The sequence below is a fragment of the Homo sapiens genome, chromosome 17 (genome assembly GCF_000001405.40).
Source record: "Homo sapiens chromosome 17, GRCh38.p14 Primary Assembly".
Classification (NCBI taxonomy): Eukaryota; Metazoa; Chordata; class Mammalia; order Primates; family Hominidae; genus Homo; species Homo sapiens.
The window spans coordinates 59,303,627-59,321,201 of record NC_000017.11 but is presented as its reverse complement, the minus strand read 5'-3'; the positions used below and the strand labels follow the sequence as shown (position 1 = coordinate 59,321,201).

General features: G+C 45.8%; 2 annotated features.

Annotated features, from left to right (window-relative positions):
- Window positions 9,868–9,937: an enhancer, noted in NCBI's record as "active region_12506". NCBI's record gives its function as "activates an Ori minimal core promoter by ATAC-STARR-seq in GM12878 lymphoblastoid cells {active_cell/tissue: GM12878}" and the evidence as "EXISTENCE:reporter gene assay evidence [ECO:0000049][PMID:35858748]".
- Window positions 9,920–10,214: a silencer, noted in NCBI's record as "tiled region #3101; HepG2 Repressive DNase matched - State 8:EnhW". NCBI's record gives its function as "represses a minimal TATA promoter and a strong SV40 promoter by Sharpr-MPRA in HepG2 cells {active_cell/tissue: HepG2}" and the evidence as "EXISTENCE:reporter gene assay evidence [ECO:0000049][PMID:27701403]".

Below are 17,575 nucleotides of genomic sequence, written 5' to 3'. Positions count from 1 at the left end.
CAAAAACAAAAAAACAAAACAAAACAAAACCCCATTCTTTTAATAGTAAAACATGGCGATGACTGTGGCCTCCTCATACTTTGTGGGTCTGTATAGTCACGTGTAGTCCATATGCACTCCCAGAACTTCAGATATAGTACCTCTCAGAGAGTAACAATAAGGAAAATCAAAATATGATGGAAGAGATTAAACATCTACACAAAAGACACCTTGTCAGCAAGTAGGTGGCTAGAGATTTGGGGCCATCCATATCCAATCACAGGGATTAGGGCATAATTTTTAGGCCCTAATTTAAGAACAATTGTATATTGCTATTGTATCCAAAGCTGTAAAATATTCTAGTCTCTGAGTGAATCCATTGTATTGTATGTTGTCTGAAGAATAGCCTGATGAATTACTGAGGTATCCCAGGGAAGAATAAAAACATCACAGCTGTCCGGGCACGGTGGCTCACGCCTGTAATTCAAGCACTTTGAGAGGCCGAGGCGGGTGGATCACGAGGTCAGGAGATCCAGACCATCCTGGCTAACACAGTGAGACCCCGTCTCTACTAAAAATACAAAAAAATTAGCCGGGCGTGGTGGCGGGCGCCTGTAGTCCCAGCTACTTGGGAGGCTGAGGCAGGAGAAAGGCGTGAACCCAGGAGGTGGAGCTTGCAGTGAGCCGAGATAGCGCCACTGCAACTCCAGCCTGGGTGACAGAGCAAGACTCCGTCTAAAAAAAATAAAAAATAAATAAAATCACAGCTGAAGGAGTTGACAGTGACACCTCAGTTACTAGTCTTACCTCAGCATACCATGTGGGACCCTGCAGTTACTGTATCCTGTTTAATGGATTTACAGATTGTATTACATCATTCCTCTTCCACTAAGCTAACCATCACAAAATGGATAACGGTTTAACAAGATTCTTGCAAAGAAACCACAAATTGAAGATAATAATAATTAAAGCATAAGCAGGCAGGGTACTGTGGCTCACGCCTGTAATCCCAGCACTGTGGGAGGCCAAGGCGGGTGGATCACCTGAGGTCAGGAGTTCAACACCAGCCTGGCCAATATGGTGAAACCCTGTCTCTACCAAAAATACAAAAATGAGCCAGGCGTGGTGATGCATTCCTGTAATCCCAGCTACTCAGGAGGCTGAGGCAGGAGAATCGCTTGAACCCGGGTGGCGGGGGTTGCAGTGAGCCGAGCACCACTGCACTCCAGCCTAGGAGACAGAGCTAGACCGTGTCTCAAAAAAAGAAAAAGAAGGCCGAGCACGATGGCTCAAGCCTGTAATCCCAGCATTTTGGGAGGCGGAGGCAGGCAGATTACAAGGTCAGGAGATTGGGACCATCCTGGCTAACACGGTGAAACCCCATCTCTACTAAAAAACAAAAAATTAGCCAGGCGTGGTAGCAGGCGCCTGTAGTCCCAGCTACTCAGGAGGCTGAGGCTGGAGAACCACTTGAACCCGGGAGGCGGAGCTTGCAGTGAGCCAAGACCGCGCCACTGCACTCCAGCCTGTGCAACAGAGTGAGACTCCGTCTCAAAAAAAAAAAAAAAAAGAAAGAAAGAAAGAAAAAGAAAAGTGTTAATCTTACCATGTTGGCCAGGCTGGTCTCCAACTCATGACCTCAAGTGATCCACCCTCCTCGGCCTCCCAAAGTGCTGGGATTACAGGAGTGAGCCACAGGAGTCCGGCCCCACTTCCTTTCTTTTATTTTCTTTCCATCCAAACACAGGGTCTTGCTCTGTCACCCGGGCTGGAATGCAAGGGTACAGCCTTGAACTCCTGGCTCTAAGCAATTTTCCCACTTCAGCCTCCCAAGTAGCTGGGACTACAGGTGCACACCACCACACCCAGCTAATTTTCAAGTTTTTTTTTTTTTACAAGTTGGGTCTTGCTTTGTTTCCCAGGCTGGTCTCCAACTCCTGGCCTCGAACGATCCTCTGCCCTTGGCCTCCCAAAGTCTGGATTAAAGGCTTGAGCCACCACACTCAGCTAGGTTGACACTTTACTTACCCTTAATACATCTGTCAGCCTGTCTGTCAGACACATTACATTATAAAAGCAATTCAGATTCGACAAGATGATAATACCAAAAAAAAAAAAAAGAGAGAGAGCGCTAAATTATCCACAGATGACTAATGTGTTAGGGTTCTCTAAAGGGACAGAACGAATAGGATAGATGTATATATGAAGGGGAATTTATTAAGGAGTATTCACTCACACGATCACAAGATGACGTTCCACAATAGGCTGTCTGCAAGCTGAGGAGCAAGGAAGCCAGTCCGAGTCCCAAAACCTCAAAAGCAGAAAGCCAACAGTGCAGCCTTCAGTCTGTGGTTGAAGGTCCAAGAGTCCCAAAGCTGAAGAACTTGGAGTCTGATTTCAAGGGCAGGAAGCATCCAGCACGGGAGAAAGATGGAGGCTGGGAGGCTAAGCCAGTCTAGCCTTTTCGCATTCTTCTGCCTGCTTTTATTCTGGCCACACTGGCAGGTGATTAGATGGTACCCACCCAGACTGAGGGTGGGTCTGCCTTTCCCAGTCCACTGACTCAGATGTTAATTTCTTTTGGCAACACCCTCACAGACACACCCAGGAACAATACTTTGCATCCTTCAGTCCAATCAAGTTGGCACTCACTATTAACCATCATAATTTGAAAGGTAGATTTATAATTTTTTACCATTAGGAACACACAATCAAAAAAATTTGGAGACCCTTGGTCTGAAAAAAGTGATGGCTTGTTTTGTTTTTGTTTTCAGACATGGTCTCACTCTGTTACCCAGGCTGGAATGCAGTAGCGCAATCTCAGCTCACTGCGACCTCTGCCTCCCAGGTTCAAAGATTCTCCTGCCTCAGCCTCCAACTAGCTGGGATTACAGGCGCGCATCAGCAAGCCCCCGCTAATTTTTGTATTTTTAGTAGAGACAGAGTTTCACTATATTGGCCAGGCTGGTCTCGAACTCCTGACCTCAAGTGATCCACCCACCTCGGCCTCCCAAAGTGCTGGGATTACAAGCGTGAGCCGCCACACCGAGCTGAAAAAAGTGATTTCTGCAGAGCAAGAATTTCGGCCAGGTGCGGTGGCTCACACCTCTAATCCCAGCACTTTGGGAGGTCAAGGCGGGTGAATCACCTGAGGTCAGGAGTTCAAAACCAGCCTGGCCAAAATGGCAAAACCCCATCTCTACTAAAAAATACAAAAATTATCTGGGTGTGGTGGCTTGCGCCTGTAGTCCCAGCTACTTGGGGGCTGAGGCAGGAGAATTGCTTGAAACCAGGAGGCAGAGGTTGTAGTGAGCCGAGATTGTGCCACTGCACTCCAGCCTGGGCGACAGAGCAAGACTTCATCTCAAAAAAAAAAAAAGAAAGAAATTAGCTGGGCATGGTAGCATGAGCCTGTGGTCCCAGCTACTCCGGAGGCTGAAGTGGGAGATCTATCACTTGAGCCTGGGAGGCAGAAGTTGCAGCGAGCCAAGATTGTGCCACTACACTCCCACCAGCCTGGGCTGACAGAGTGAGACCCCGTCTGAAAAACAAACAAACAAACAAAAAAACAGAGCAATAATTTCTCCAACATGGCAGAAAATATCCTGCCACAGTCTCAGGTATTTCATTCAGCTTAACTGGTTACCCCTACAGAGGAATTGAACAAATCCAGCTAGGTACTATCTTTTAAGGTCATCCAACTCATTTCTTTATTATACCCTTGATTTTCAAGTGTAACTTAAGGTTCTAACTGGGCTCACCAACATATATTTCTTTTTTATTTTTTTGAGACAGAGTCTCTCTCGTTCACCGAGGCTGGAGTGCAGTGGTGCAATCTGGGCTCACTGCAACCTCCGCCTCCCGGGTTCAAGCGATTCTCCTGCCTCAGCCTCCTGAGTAGCTGGGATTTCAGATGCCCGCCACCATGGCCAGCTAATTTTTGTATTTTTAGTAGAGACAGAATTTCACCATGTTGGTCAGGGTGGTCTCAAACTCCTGACCTCAGCTGGTCTGCCCACCTTGGCCTCCCAAAGTGCTGGGATGACAGGCGTGAGCCACCGTGCTGGCCCCAATGTGTATTTCTTACAGGTAAAGAATGCACCATCCAGTGGTAACGTCTAGTCATTGCATAATGCAGCAGTGGTCTCTTGTGAACTTGGTTAACGTGGATTCATCTCCAAGACACTGCTCACCTCTCAATAACGAGGTCCTAGATTTGTTAAGGTAACCTAGGCTTTGTTTCCAAAAGAAGGAAGTTTCTAGCTCTGAATTATATTAATTCTGTAGGACACCTAACTTTTTTTCATTTTTGTTTTGAGCCAGGGTATTGCTCTGTCTCCTAGGCTGGAGCACAGTGGTGGGATCTCAGTTCACTGCAATCTCTGCCTCCTGGGCTCAAGCGATCCTCCCACTTCAGCCTCCTGAGTAACTGGGATTACAGGCGCAAGCCAACACTCCCAGCTAGTATTTGTATTTTTTGTAGAGACAAAGTTTCGCCATGTTGCTGAGGCTGGTCTGGAACTCCTGGGCTCAAGTGATCCGCCTGCCTTGGCCTCCCAAAGCGTTGGGATTACAGGCATGAGCCTGGCCACCTAATGTTATCCTTGCTTAACAGCTCTTTCTTCTGTGGCCTGTTTTTTTTTTTTTTTTTTTTTTTTTTGAGACGGAACCTCGCTCTGTTGCCCAGGCTAGAGTGTAGTGGCACCATCCCAGTTCACTGCAACCTCCGCCTCCCAGGTTCCAGCAATTCTTGTGCCTCAGCCTCCCAAGTAGCTGGGATTACAGACATGTGCCACCACGCCTAGCTAATTTTTGTATTTTTAGTAGAGATGGGGTTTCATCATGTTGGCCAGGCTGTTCTTGAACTCCTAACCTCAGATGATCCGACTGCCTCAGCCTCCCAAAGTGCTGGGGTTACAGCCATGAGCCACCATGCCCGGCCTCTGTGGCCTGTTTTTGAACAGGGTTAATTTACTAATTTGTAAGCTTAATTGTTGCTTTGATCTGCCCAGCACGGAGGCCCAGGCTCCCAACAGAGGTTCATCAGACAACATGATACACAAGATCAACTGAGATGCAGAGGCGAGAGTTTAAACAGCAGCTCAGACCAGCGTTCTACCATGGCAGAGTACGAACTCATTGCATGGCCAGCTACTTCTCCTTTCTGCTGCATTCTCCTTCCCTTGACTGGGCTCTTCCTTCTTTGAGTGAAACAAATAGGTCCATTTCATTTAGTCAAATGACAATATCATCTGCTGTCCTAGCAGCTTGACTGACCAGACTTTTATTTTACCTTCACTTCCTGTTGGGAATATTCCAACTCCATCAGTTTTGCAGGGTGATGAGCAGTCTGTGCAGACAGGGTAACATTGGGCCCCCATGGAATTGGGCAGACTTTAGATCAATTAGGACAGCAGTTCTCAGCTTTGGTTGTATATGCGAATCACCTGGAAAGCTTTTGAAAAATACCAGTGCCACGCATGCCCTACTCCTAGGCAATTCTAATTGCCTTAATTGGTCCAGGATAGATCCTGGTCATGGATGCCTTTATTATTATTTTGTTTTATTTTTTGAGACAGAGTCTTGCTCTGTCACCCAGGCTGGAGTGCAGTGGTGTGATCTCGTCTCACTGCAACCTCTGCCTCCCGGGTTCAAGGGATTCTCCTGCCTCAGCCTCCTGAGTAGCTGGGATTACGGGCACCCACCACCACGCCTGGCTAATTTTTGTATTTTTAGTAGAGATGGGGTTTTACCATATTGGCCAGGCTGGTCTCAAACTCCTGATCTTGTTATCTCCCGGCTTTAGCCTCCCAAAGTGCTGGGATTACGTGAGCCACCACGCCCGGCCATGGATCCCTTTAAAAACTCCACAAGTGGCCAGGCATGGTGGCTCATGCCTGTAATCCCAGCACTTTGGGAGGCTGAGGCAGGAGGATCACTTGAGGTCAGGAGTTTGATACTAGCCTGGCCAACATGGTAAAACCCCATCTCTACCCAAAATACAAAAAAAAAAAAAAATTAGCTGGGTGTGATGATGCATGCTTGTAACCCCAGCTGCTCAGGAGGCTGAGGCAGGAGAATCATTTGAACCTGTGAGGCAAAGATTGCAGTGAGCCAAGATTGTGTCATTGCACTCCAGCCTGGGTGACTGAGCCAGACTCTGTCTCAAAAAAAAAACAAAAAAACAAAAAAAACAAAACTCCACAAGTAATCAGTGATGAGGACCATGGGCTTGGGATCTTCTATTCAAAGGGCAAATTTAAAGCTGACAAAATTTTCTTCTAAGCCTTCTGGTCGGAAGTGCGCTTCAATCATCTGCACACATTCCATTTTACAATTAACTCACACACATATTTGCAGAAAGCTGGAAAGTAAAAATGTGTTCGTGATACAATGCCCTGCTTCACGGGGTGCAAGACATTTTCTCATAGATTCTCTCATTTAACCCTTAAAATAACTCAGTGAGGTCAACAGGGCAAGGTATTATTATCCACAATTTTCTGGTAAGGAAATTGGTATCCTGAGCCAAAGGAGGATCCAGACTTCTGGTTTTTGTTCAGTGCCATTTAATTATATCATACCTACTCTACAGTGCAGTGAATAACCTCGACTGTCACACGGTGGGAGGAAATATTGCCAAAGAGTTAAGAGTGAATATTTTTATTTTATTTTATTTTAAGACAGAATTTCGCTCTTGTTGCCCAGGCGGGAGTGTAACGGCATGGTCTCAGCTCACTGCAAACTCTGCCTCCCAGGTTCAAGCAATTCTCCTGCCTCACCCTCCCGAGTAGCTGGGATTACAGGTACCCACCAATATGCTTGGCTAATTTTTGTATTTTTAGTAGAGACAGGGTTTTGCCATGTTGGCCAGGCTGGTCTCAAACACCTGACTGCTGATGATCCTCCTGACTTGACTTCCCAAAGAGCTGAGATGACAGGCGTGAGCCACTGTACGCAGCCAAAACCCAGGTCTTAATGTCTCATTTAAAAATATTTACTCTTGCCAGGTGCAGTGGCTCATGCCTGTAATCCCAGCACTTTAGGAGGCTGAGGCAGGCAGATCACCTGAGGCCAGGAGTTTGAGACCAGCCTGGCCAACATGGTGAAACCCTGTCTCTACTGAAAATACAAAAATTAGGTGGGTGTGGTGGCCGGCGCCTGTAATCCCAGCTGCTCAAGAGGCTGAGACAGGAGAATCGCTCGAACCCAGGAGGCAGAGGTTTCAGTCAAGATCGCACCACTGCACTCTAGCCTGAGCAACAGAGCAAGACTCTGTCTCAAAAAAAAAAAAAAAACAAAAAAAACCTGGGTTTGAATTTTAGTTTCGTCACTTGCTAGCTCTGTGATCTTGGGCAGATTCATAATCTCTTCAAGACTCAATTTTCCTCATCTGAATATGGTACTGGGATATAGTATCAACTTCGAAGGGATAGCAATGAGATACAATAGTTCTTATTCACCTCACATGATCATGCCACTTTTACACACCTGTTAGAATAGAAAGAATTATTTAAAGTAGTTGGGCCAGGCATGGTGGCTCACGCCTGTAATCCCAGCACTTTGGGAGGCCGAGGTGGGCAGATCACTTAAGGTCAGGAGTTCAAAACCAGCCTAGCCAACATGGTGAAACCCCATCCCTACTAAAAATACAAAACTTAGCTAGGTGTGGTGGTGTGTGTCTGTAATCCCAGTTACTCGGGAGGCTGAGGCAGAAGAATCGCTTGAACACAGGAGGTGGAGGTTGCAGTGAGCCAAGATGGAGCCATTGCACGCCAGCCTGGGCAACAGAGCAAGACTTCATCTAAAAAAAAAAAAAAAAAGCCAGGTGTGGTGGCTCACGCCTGTAATCCCAGCACTTTGGGAGGCTGACGTGGGTGGATCGCCCAAGGTTGGGAGTTCGAGACTAGCTTGACCAACATGGAGAAACCCCATCTCTACTAAAAATACAAAATTAGCCAGGCATGGTGGCACATGCCTGTAATCCCAGCTACTCAGGAGGCTGAGGCAGGAGAATTGCTTGAACCTGGAGGCAGAGGTTTCAGTGAGCTGAGATCGCACCATTGCACTCCAGCCTGGGCAAGAAGAGTGAAATTCCATCTCAAAAAAAAAAAAAAATAGTTGGACTTCTTTATTCTATTCAAAGTTTTTTTTCTTTGGTGTCAATCTTCGTTTTTCTTAACTGATACTGCTGCATAAAGTGAGAAGATGGATTTGTTTGTGAAGGTGGCATTTCACATGACAGTCACCAAATTATTCCCTTGAGATCAGCAATAAGATTCTAAGGCCGGGCGTGGTGGTTCACACTTGTAATCCCAACACTTTGGGCCGCCAAGATGGGAGGATCCCTTGAAGCCAGACTGGGCAACAGCAAGATCCTATCTCTACAAAAAATAAAAATAAGAAAATTAGCTAAGCGTGGTGGCACACATCTATAGTCCCAGCTATTTGGGAGGCTGAGGTGGGAGAATCACTTGAGCCCAGGAATGCAAGGCTACAGTGAGCTATGATCATGCCACTGCACTCGAGCCTGGGTGATGTAATGAGAACTAAGTCAAAAAAAAAAAAAAACAGAATTCTAGGAAATTCATCATTTTAAAGGCTTCTTTGCTTATTTTGCCAAGGCAGTACTTGATCAGATGCTTTTTAAAATTAATAGACCATTTTAGGCCAGGCGCAGTGGCTCATGCATGTAATCCCAGCAATTTGGGAGGCCGAGGCGGGCAGATCACCTGAGGTCATGAGTTCAAAACCAGCCTGGCCAACATGGTGAAACCCCATCTCTACTAAAAATACAAAAATTAGCCGGGCGTGGTGGCGGGCACTTGTAATCCTAGCTGCTCAGGAGGCCGAGGCAGGAGAATTGCTTGAACCCAGGAGGCAGAGGTTGCAGTGAGCCGAGATCATGCCAGCCTGGGTGACAGAGTGAGAATCTGTCTCAAAATAAAATAAAATTAAATTAAAATTAATAGACAAATTTTAGAGTGGTTTTAGATTTACTGAAAAGCTGAACAGCATATAGAGTCCTCATATAACCCTGCCCTTGACATAGTTTCCTGTATTATTAATATTGCATATTAGTGTAGCACATTTGCTATAATTATGCAGATTTCTTTAGTTTTTACCTGATGTCCTTTTTTCTGCTCCAGTATCCCAGCCAGGAGACGACTTTACATTTAGTTGCCATGTCTCCTTGGGCTTCTCTTGGTTGTCATAGTTTCTCAGACATTCCTTGGTTTTGATGCTGTTTTCTTTTTTCTTTTTTTTTTTTTTTTCCGAGACAGAGGCTCGCTCTGTCGCCCAGGCTGGAGTGCAGTCGCATGATCTCAGCTCAAGGCAACCTCCGCTTCCTGGGTTCAAGCGATTCTCCTGCCTCAACCTCTTGAGTAGCTGGGACCACAGGCACTCGCTGCCACACCCAGCTAATTTTTGTATTTTTAGTAAAGATTGGGTTTCACTGTGTTGGCCAGGCTGGTCTTGAATGCCTGACCTCAGGTGATCCATCTGCCTCGGCCTCCCACAGTGCTGGGATTACAGGCGTGAGCCACTGCGCCCAGCCAGTTTTGATGGTCTTGACAGTGTTGAGAAGTTCTCATCAGGTATATTGCAGGCCACCCCTCTATTAAGATTTGTCTGATGCTTTTCTCATGACTAGACTGGGGTCATGTGTGTTTTGGGGGGATGACACAGAGGTAAAGTGCCATTTTCATGACATCATATCAAGGGTACATACTATCAATATGATTTATCAGTGTTGATGTTCTCCTGGATCACCTGGCTGATTGTCAGGTTCCCCCACTGTAGTGACTCCTCCCAGTCCTTGTCATACTCTTTGGACAGAAGTCACCATGCAGAGCTTACACTTAAGGAGTGAGGAGTTATAGTCCCCTCCTTTGCAGTAGAGTAGTTACATAATTTATTTGGAATTCTTCTGCATGGGAGATTGATCAACTGCTTTAGTGTGTAAACCTACTGTCACCATCCACCAAGTCATAACAATCTATTTGGTGGCGCCCTTAGCCCTGTATTGTCCAGATTAGAACTATAATGGGGTCTAGGGAGACCTCTCGTGGTAAAATAAGGGCATAACTAGCCAGCTACACGCTCTCATTTTATGCCATTGACTTTCCTTTAACGCAGTGGTTCTCAATCAAGGGCAATTTTGCCCGCCAGCCCCAGGGAGCATTTGACAATATGGGGAGAAATTTTTGGTTGCCACAACTTTTGGAAAGCGATGTTATTGGCACCTAGCAAGTGGAGACGGAGATCCTGCTAAACATACAGTGATTAAGACACAAACAACAAAAAATTATCTGAGCCAAAATGTCAATAGTGCTGAGGTTTAGAAACTCTGTGATTAACAGCTTTATAAAAGTTACAGATAATGTTCAAAGGGATACATTATAATGTGAAGGAGGAAAAGACCTTATTTTGTGAAGGATGAATTCTTAAAAAAAAAAATACAGCTGGAAGGGTAGCAGAATATGTCACACCAAAATATGCCATTTCAGCATATTAACTATGTTGAGCTGAAGACAATTGAGAAGAAGCAAATACAAGGAAAACTCTCTGCCATCCCCGTATTTGTCTAAAAGCAGGTCATAAATTTGTAAAGGTGGCGCCTCTCCTGAGACAGAGTCTTCCTCTGTTGCCCAGGCTGGAGCGCAGTGGCACCATCATAGCTCACTGCAGCCTTCATCTCCCAGGCTCAAGCGATCCTCCCACCTCAGCCTCCTGAGTAACTGGGCCTACAGGTGTGCACCACCAAGCTGGGCTAATTTTTCTATTTCTTGTAGAGACTGGGTCTCCTTATGTTGCCCAGGCTGGTCTTGAACTCCTGGACCCAAGTGATCTGCCTGCCTCGGCCTCCCAAAGTGCTGTGATTACAGGCATGAGCAACTGCTGGCCAATTTATTTTTGAGTCAGGGCCTCACTTTGTCGACAGGGCTGGAGTGCAGTAGTATGATCATAGTTCATAGCAGCCTTGAACTTCCAGGCTCAAGGAATCCTCTCTCCTCAGCCTACCAAGTTGCTAGGGGCTACGGGCACTTGCCATCACACATGGCTAATTTTTTTTTTAATTTTATTTTATTTTTGAGGTAGAGTTTGGCTGTTTTTGTTTGTTTGTTTGTTTTTTTGTTTGAGACGGAGTTTCGCTCTCGTTGCTCAGACTGGAGTGCAATGGCGCAATCTCGGCTCACTGCAACCTCCACTTTCCGGGTTCAAGCGATTCTCCTGCCTCAGCTTCCCGAGTAGCTGGGATTACAGGCATGCGCCACCACACCCGGCTAATTTTGTACTTCTAGTAGAGACGGGATTTCTCCATATTGGCCAAGCTGGTCTCGAACTCCTGACCTCAGGTGATCTGCCCACCTCGGCCTCCCAAAGTGCTGGGATTACAGGCGTGAGCCATCATGCCAGGCCTGGAGTTTCACTCTTGTTGCCTAGGCTGGAGTGCAATGGTGCAATGTCTGCTCACTGCAACCTCCGCCTCCCAGGTTCAAGCAATTCTCCTGCCTCAGCCTCCTGAGTAACTAGGATTACAGGCGCCTGCCACCACACCCAGCTAATTTTTTCGTATTTTGAGTAGAGACGGGGCTCTACCATGTTGGCTAGGCTAGTCTTGAACTCCTGGCCTCAAACGATCCGCCCACCTCAGCCTCCCAAAGTGCTGGGATTACAAGTGTGAGGCACTGCACCGGCTGCTAATTTATTTTTATTTTTATTTTTTTTTGAGACAGGGTCTCACTCTGTCGCCCAGGCTGGAGTACAGTGGCGTGATCTGGGCTCACTGCAGTCTCCTCCTCCCGGTTTCACGCCATTCTCCTGCCTCAGCCTCCCAAGTAGCTGGGACTACACGTGCCCGCCACCACGCCCCCCTAATTTTTTTGTATTTTTATTAGAGACAGGGTTTCACCGTGTTAGCCAGGATGGTCTCGATCTCCTGACCTTGTGATCCGCCCGCTTCAGACTCCCAAAGTGCTGGGATCACACGTGTGAGCCACCGTGCCCGGCCCCGCTAATTTTTTTCTTTTTCTTTTTTTTTTTTTGAGACAGAGTCTCGCTCTGTCGCCCAGGCTGGAATGCAGTGGCGCAATCTCGGCTCACTGCAAGCTCCGCCTCCCGGGTTCATGCCATTCTCCTCCCTCAGCCTCCCGAGTAGCTGGGACTACAGGCGCCCGCCACTAAGCCCGGCTAACTTTTTGTATTTTTAGTAGAGACGGGGTTTCACCGTGGTCTCGATCTACTGACCTTGTGATCCGCCCGCCTCGGACTCCCAAAGTGCTGGGATTACAGGCGTAAGCCACCGCGCCCGGCCAGGCCATGCTAATTTTTAAAAGTTGGTTTTTCTGTAGAGATGGGGATCTCTCTATGTTGCCAAGGCTGGTTTCAAACTCTTAGCCTCAAGTGATCCTCCTACCCAGCCTCCCAAAATGCTGGAATTACAGTAGTGAGCCACCCCACTCAGCCCATTTTTTTAGCCCATAATTTTCTTAATGATAATTTTTAAAAACTACAAACAATTTTGAGAGGGAGAAAAAAACCACCTCCAGTCCTATTACAACTACAATCCACAACTATTTTCAGTTGCACCTGACTTCCTATATACGCATATTTCTATGTTGTTGCAATTAATAAATATAACCACTTATATTCTGCTTTTTTTCACTGAATTGAATATTTGAAATATTTTTCGTGTTCCTAGTGTCTCCATATATATACATATATATATACATATATATATGTATATATGTATTTCTTCTCTCTTTTTTTTTTTTTTTTTTTGACGAGGTTTTGCTTACGTTGCCCAGGTTTGAGTGCAGTGGTGTGATCTTGGCTCACTGCAACATCTGCCTCCCAGGTTCCAGCGATTCTCCTGCCTCAGCCTCCCAAAGTAGCTGGGATTACAGGTGCCCGCCACCATGCCTGGCTAATTTTTGTATTTTTAGTAGAGATGGGGTTTTGCCATGTTGGCCCGGCTGGTCTCGAATTCCTGACGTCAAGTGATCCACCCACTCGGCCTCCCAAAGTGCTGGCATACAAGTGTGAGCCACCGTGGCCTGCCTACGGTGTTATTCTGATTTGTAAAGGTTGATATAAAGGAATAGTATATTCATGTGTCATGTGTCCTATTTCCAAGTTTTTTTTCTTTTTCTTTTTAACTTTGTTTTTTCTTTTTTTCTTTTTTTTTTTTTTGAGACAAGAGTCTTGCTCTGTCGCCCAGGCTGGAGTACAGTGGCGCCATCTTTGCTCACTGCAACCTCCGCCTCCCGGGTACAAGCGATTCTCCTGCCTCAGCCTCCGGAATAGCTGGGATTATAGGCGCCCACGACCACGCCCAGCTAATTTTTGTATTTTTAGTAGAGACGGGGTTTCACCATGTTGGTCAGGCTGATCTCAGACTCCTGACCTCGTGATCCGCCTGCCTCGGCCTCCCAAAGTGCTGGGATAACAGGCGTGAGCCACCGCTCCCAGCCTTAACTTTCAATTCTTACTGATAAATTGAAGTTAAATTTTTTTTGCAAAAATCCTGAAATTTATTATTTCTTTTTCCATTTGTACTTAGAAAGTTATCCCTTTTTAGAATTAAATACCTACACGTTTCCTTCTAATTTTTTTTAATTTCATTTTTTACATATAATTATTTAAAATCTGGAATTTGGGTGGGACGTAGTGGCTCACGCCTGTAATCCCAGCATTTTGGGAGGCCGAGGTGGGCGGATCACCTGAAGTCAGGAGTTCAAGACCAGCCTGACCAACATGGTGAAACCCCATCTCTATCAAAAATACAAAAATTGGCCGGGTGCAGTGGCTCAAGCCTGTAATCCCAGCACTTTGGGAGGCTGAGGCACATGGATCACAAGGTCAGGAGTTCGAGACCAGCCTGGCCAAGATAGTGAAACCCCATCTCTACTAAAAAAAAAAATACAAAAATTAGCCGGGCGCGGTGGTAGGCGCCTGTTAGTCCCAGCTACTCAGGAGGCTGAGGCAGGAGAATCGCTTGAACCTGGGAGGTGGAGGTTGCAGTCAGCCGAGATCATGCTACTGCACTCTAGCCTGGGTGACAGAGCGAGACTCCATCTCAAAAAAACAAACAAACAAACAAAAAATACAAAAATTAGCTGGGAGTGGTGGCAAGCGCCTATAATCCCAGCTGCTTGGGAGGCTGAGGCAGGAGAATCGCTTGAACCCAGGAGGTGGAGGTTGCAGTGACCCGAGATCGAGCTGCTGCACTCCAGCCTGGGTGACAGAGCAAGACTCCACCTCCAAAAAAAAACAAAGTCAAATATAGAAAAGTTGAAAGAATTGTACAATGAACACCCAGATAAACTTTAAAATCATCTTGCAAGGCCCAAATGAAAACAAAAATGAACCCCTAAAAAAATTCTCTTTGAGAATTTGATGGAATCTACATGAGCAATTACTTTGATAATATCTTTATTCTAACCAGATTCTCCTTCAAAAATATGGTTTATTTTTCCACTTACTCAAGTATTTTTCTTTCTTTCTTTATTTGAGACGGGATCTTGCTCTGTTGCTGGGGCTGGAATATAATGGCATGATGATGTCTCATGGCAGCCTCCCGTGCTCAGGCAACCCTCCTGTCTCTGCCTCCTAAGTATCTGGGACTACAGGGGCACACCACCACTCCCGGCTAATTTTTTAATTATTTGTAGAGACAAAGTTTCCCTACGTTGATCAGGCTGGTCTGCAACTGCCAGGCTCTTGCAATCCTCCTGCCTTGGCCTCTCAAAGTGCTATGATTACAGACATAAGCCATGGTGCCCAGCCTCAAGTATTTCTTTGTGTGTGATATTTTTCTTTTTGTTGCCTTGGTAGAAAGAGTGCAGAGAAAAGTTTTCTTATGAAATTTTCACTGGTTATTATGAGGCCTTTGGGTTACAAATTAATGTTAAAAATGAGGGGTATACTAGACTCAAAGAAGAATTGTTAATTAATTCACTCATCATGACATCTATTGCGCATATGTTGTATGCCAGGTTCTAATGACACCTGAATGAATGTGTCCATTTCTTTATCCTTGGGGAGCTGATGGACTCTTGGAAAAATAAGGCTGGGCGCAGTGGCTCACGCTTATAATCCCAGCACTTTGGGAGGCCAAGGCGGGCAGATCACCTGAGGTCGGAAGTTCGAGACCAGCCCAACCAACATGGAGAAACCCTGTCTCTACTAAAAATACAATAAATTAGCCGGGCGTAGTGGTGCATGCCTGTAATCCCAGCTACTCGGGAGGCTTAGGCAGGAGAATTGCTTGAACCCGGGAAGCGGAGGTTGTGGTGAGCCGAGAGTGCGCCATTGCACTCCAGCCTGGGCAACAAGAGTGAAACTCCATCTCAAAAAAAAAAAAAAAAGGAAAAAGTAGATGGTCAAAAATATTACAAATCTGGCCAGGTGCGGTTTCTCACACCTGTAATCTCAGCACTTTGGGAGGTCGAGGAGGGCGGATCACTTGAGATCGGGAATTCAAGACCAGCCTGGCCAACATGGTGAAACCTTGTCTCTCCTAAAAATACAAAAATTAGCTGGGCGTGGTGGCGCATGCCTGTAATCCCAGCTACTAGGGAGGCTAAGGCAGGAGAATCCCTTGAACCCAGCGGGTGGAGGTTGCAGTGAGCCAAGATAGCACCACTGCACTCCAGCCTGGGTGACAGAGCCAGACTGTGTCTCAAACAAACAAACAAAAAAGTTACAAATCAGGACAATAAAATGCCATAAGGAAGGTTGGTAAGGCTCCACCAATAATGTGATATTTGGTACACAATACAAAGTTTAAAAAAAAATTTTCACCAAGCAAAGGGGAAAGTGCATTCTATGGAGCAGAAAGAACTTGTGTAGAGATAGGGGAAGTTGGGACATTTCTTTCTGAGGGCTGAGGTAGAACACATGGGGATTGATTGGGAGGTGTTGAATAGCACAGAGAATGGTGCGTTTGTTTGATGCAGCTGAAGTTCAGGGTATTTGGAATGGGGGTGGATTCTGGAAAGGTAGGTCGTTAGGAAAGGTAGGTAACATGTTAAGGAGTTTGAACTTTATCACAAAAATAACAGAATGAGCAAAGGTTTTGAAGCAGGAGTTCTAATCGGAATTTGTTTCATTGCTGTGACACCAAGGATGGCTTGGAGTGGGAAGAGAAGAGGCTGGAAAGGTGATGGGAGTCAGATTGTGAAAGGCACTGCATGCCTGAGAGCTTAATCTGCCATTTGAACCTTAGCCTGAAGGAAGGTTCAAATAAGTCATAAAGTAATAAAATACATTGGGATGGGCCAGGCACGATGGTTCACACCTGTAATCCCAGAATTTGGGAGGTTGAGGCAGGTGGATCACTTGATGTCAGGAGTTTGAGACCAGCCTGGCCAACAGAGTGAAACCCCAACTCTACTAAAAATACAAAATTAGCCAGGTGTTGTGGCAGGTGCCTGTAATCCCAGCTACTTGGGAGGCTGAGGCAGGAGAATCGCTTGAACCCAGGGAGTAGAGGTTGCAATGAGCTGAGATTGTGCCACTGCACTCCAGCCTGGGTGACAGAGCAAGACTCCGTCTCGAAAACAAAAACAAAACCCCACATCGCAATGATGAACAGCACAGACAGTAATAACTGCAAATGTTCAGAGGAGGCAATTATTATCACAGGAAGATAATCTTGTCCTTGAAGTCAGATCTGGGTAGGAATTCCAGGTCTTCCACTCATCTGTCATCTGTGAATACATTTTATAGCCCTTTGAGCCTCACTTTATTGACCTATAATAAAATAATGAGGCCAATAATACCTATCTAACTACCTGTTATGAGGATTAAATAAGAAAAACCTGTTAAATGCCAAATACATAGTAGGTATTCAATAGACATTATTTCTTTTTCTATTTAAGTTTTATTTTAAGTTCAGGGGTACATGTGCAGGTTTGTTATATAGGTAAACTTGTGTCATGGGAGTTTGTTGTATAGATTATTTTGTCACCCAGGTATTAAGCCCAGTACCCATTAGTTATTTTTCCTGATCATCTCCCTCCTCCCACCCCCCCACCCTCTGAAAGGCTCCAGTGTTTGTTGTTCTCCTCTATGTGTCCATGTGTTATCATCATTTAGCTCCCACTTATAAGTGAGAACATGTGGTATTCGGTTTTTTGTTTCTGCGTTAGTTTGCTAAGGATAATGGCCTCCCACTCCATCCATGTTCCTGTAAAAGACAAGATCTCATTCTTTTTTATGGCTGCATAGTATTCCATTGTGTATATGTGGCTCAAGGGATCCTCCCGCCTCAGCCACTGGAGCCACATTTTCTTTATCCAGTCTATCACTGATGGGCATTTAGGTTGATTCCATGTCTTGGCTATTGTGAATAGTGCTGCTATAAACATACATATGCAGATCGGGTGCAGTGGCTCACGCCTGTAATCCCAGCACTTTGGGAGGCCGAGGCAAGTGGATCACTTGAGGTGAGAAGTTAGAGACCAGCCTGACCAACATGGTGAAACCTCGTCTGTACTAAAAATATAAAAATTTTCTGGGCATGGTGGCAGGTGCCAGTAATCCCAGCTACTTAGGAGGCTGTGGCAGGAGAACTGCTTGAACCTGGGAG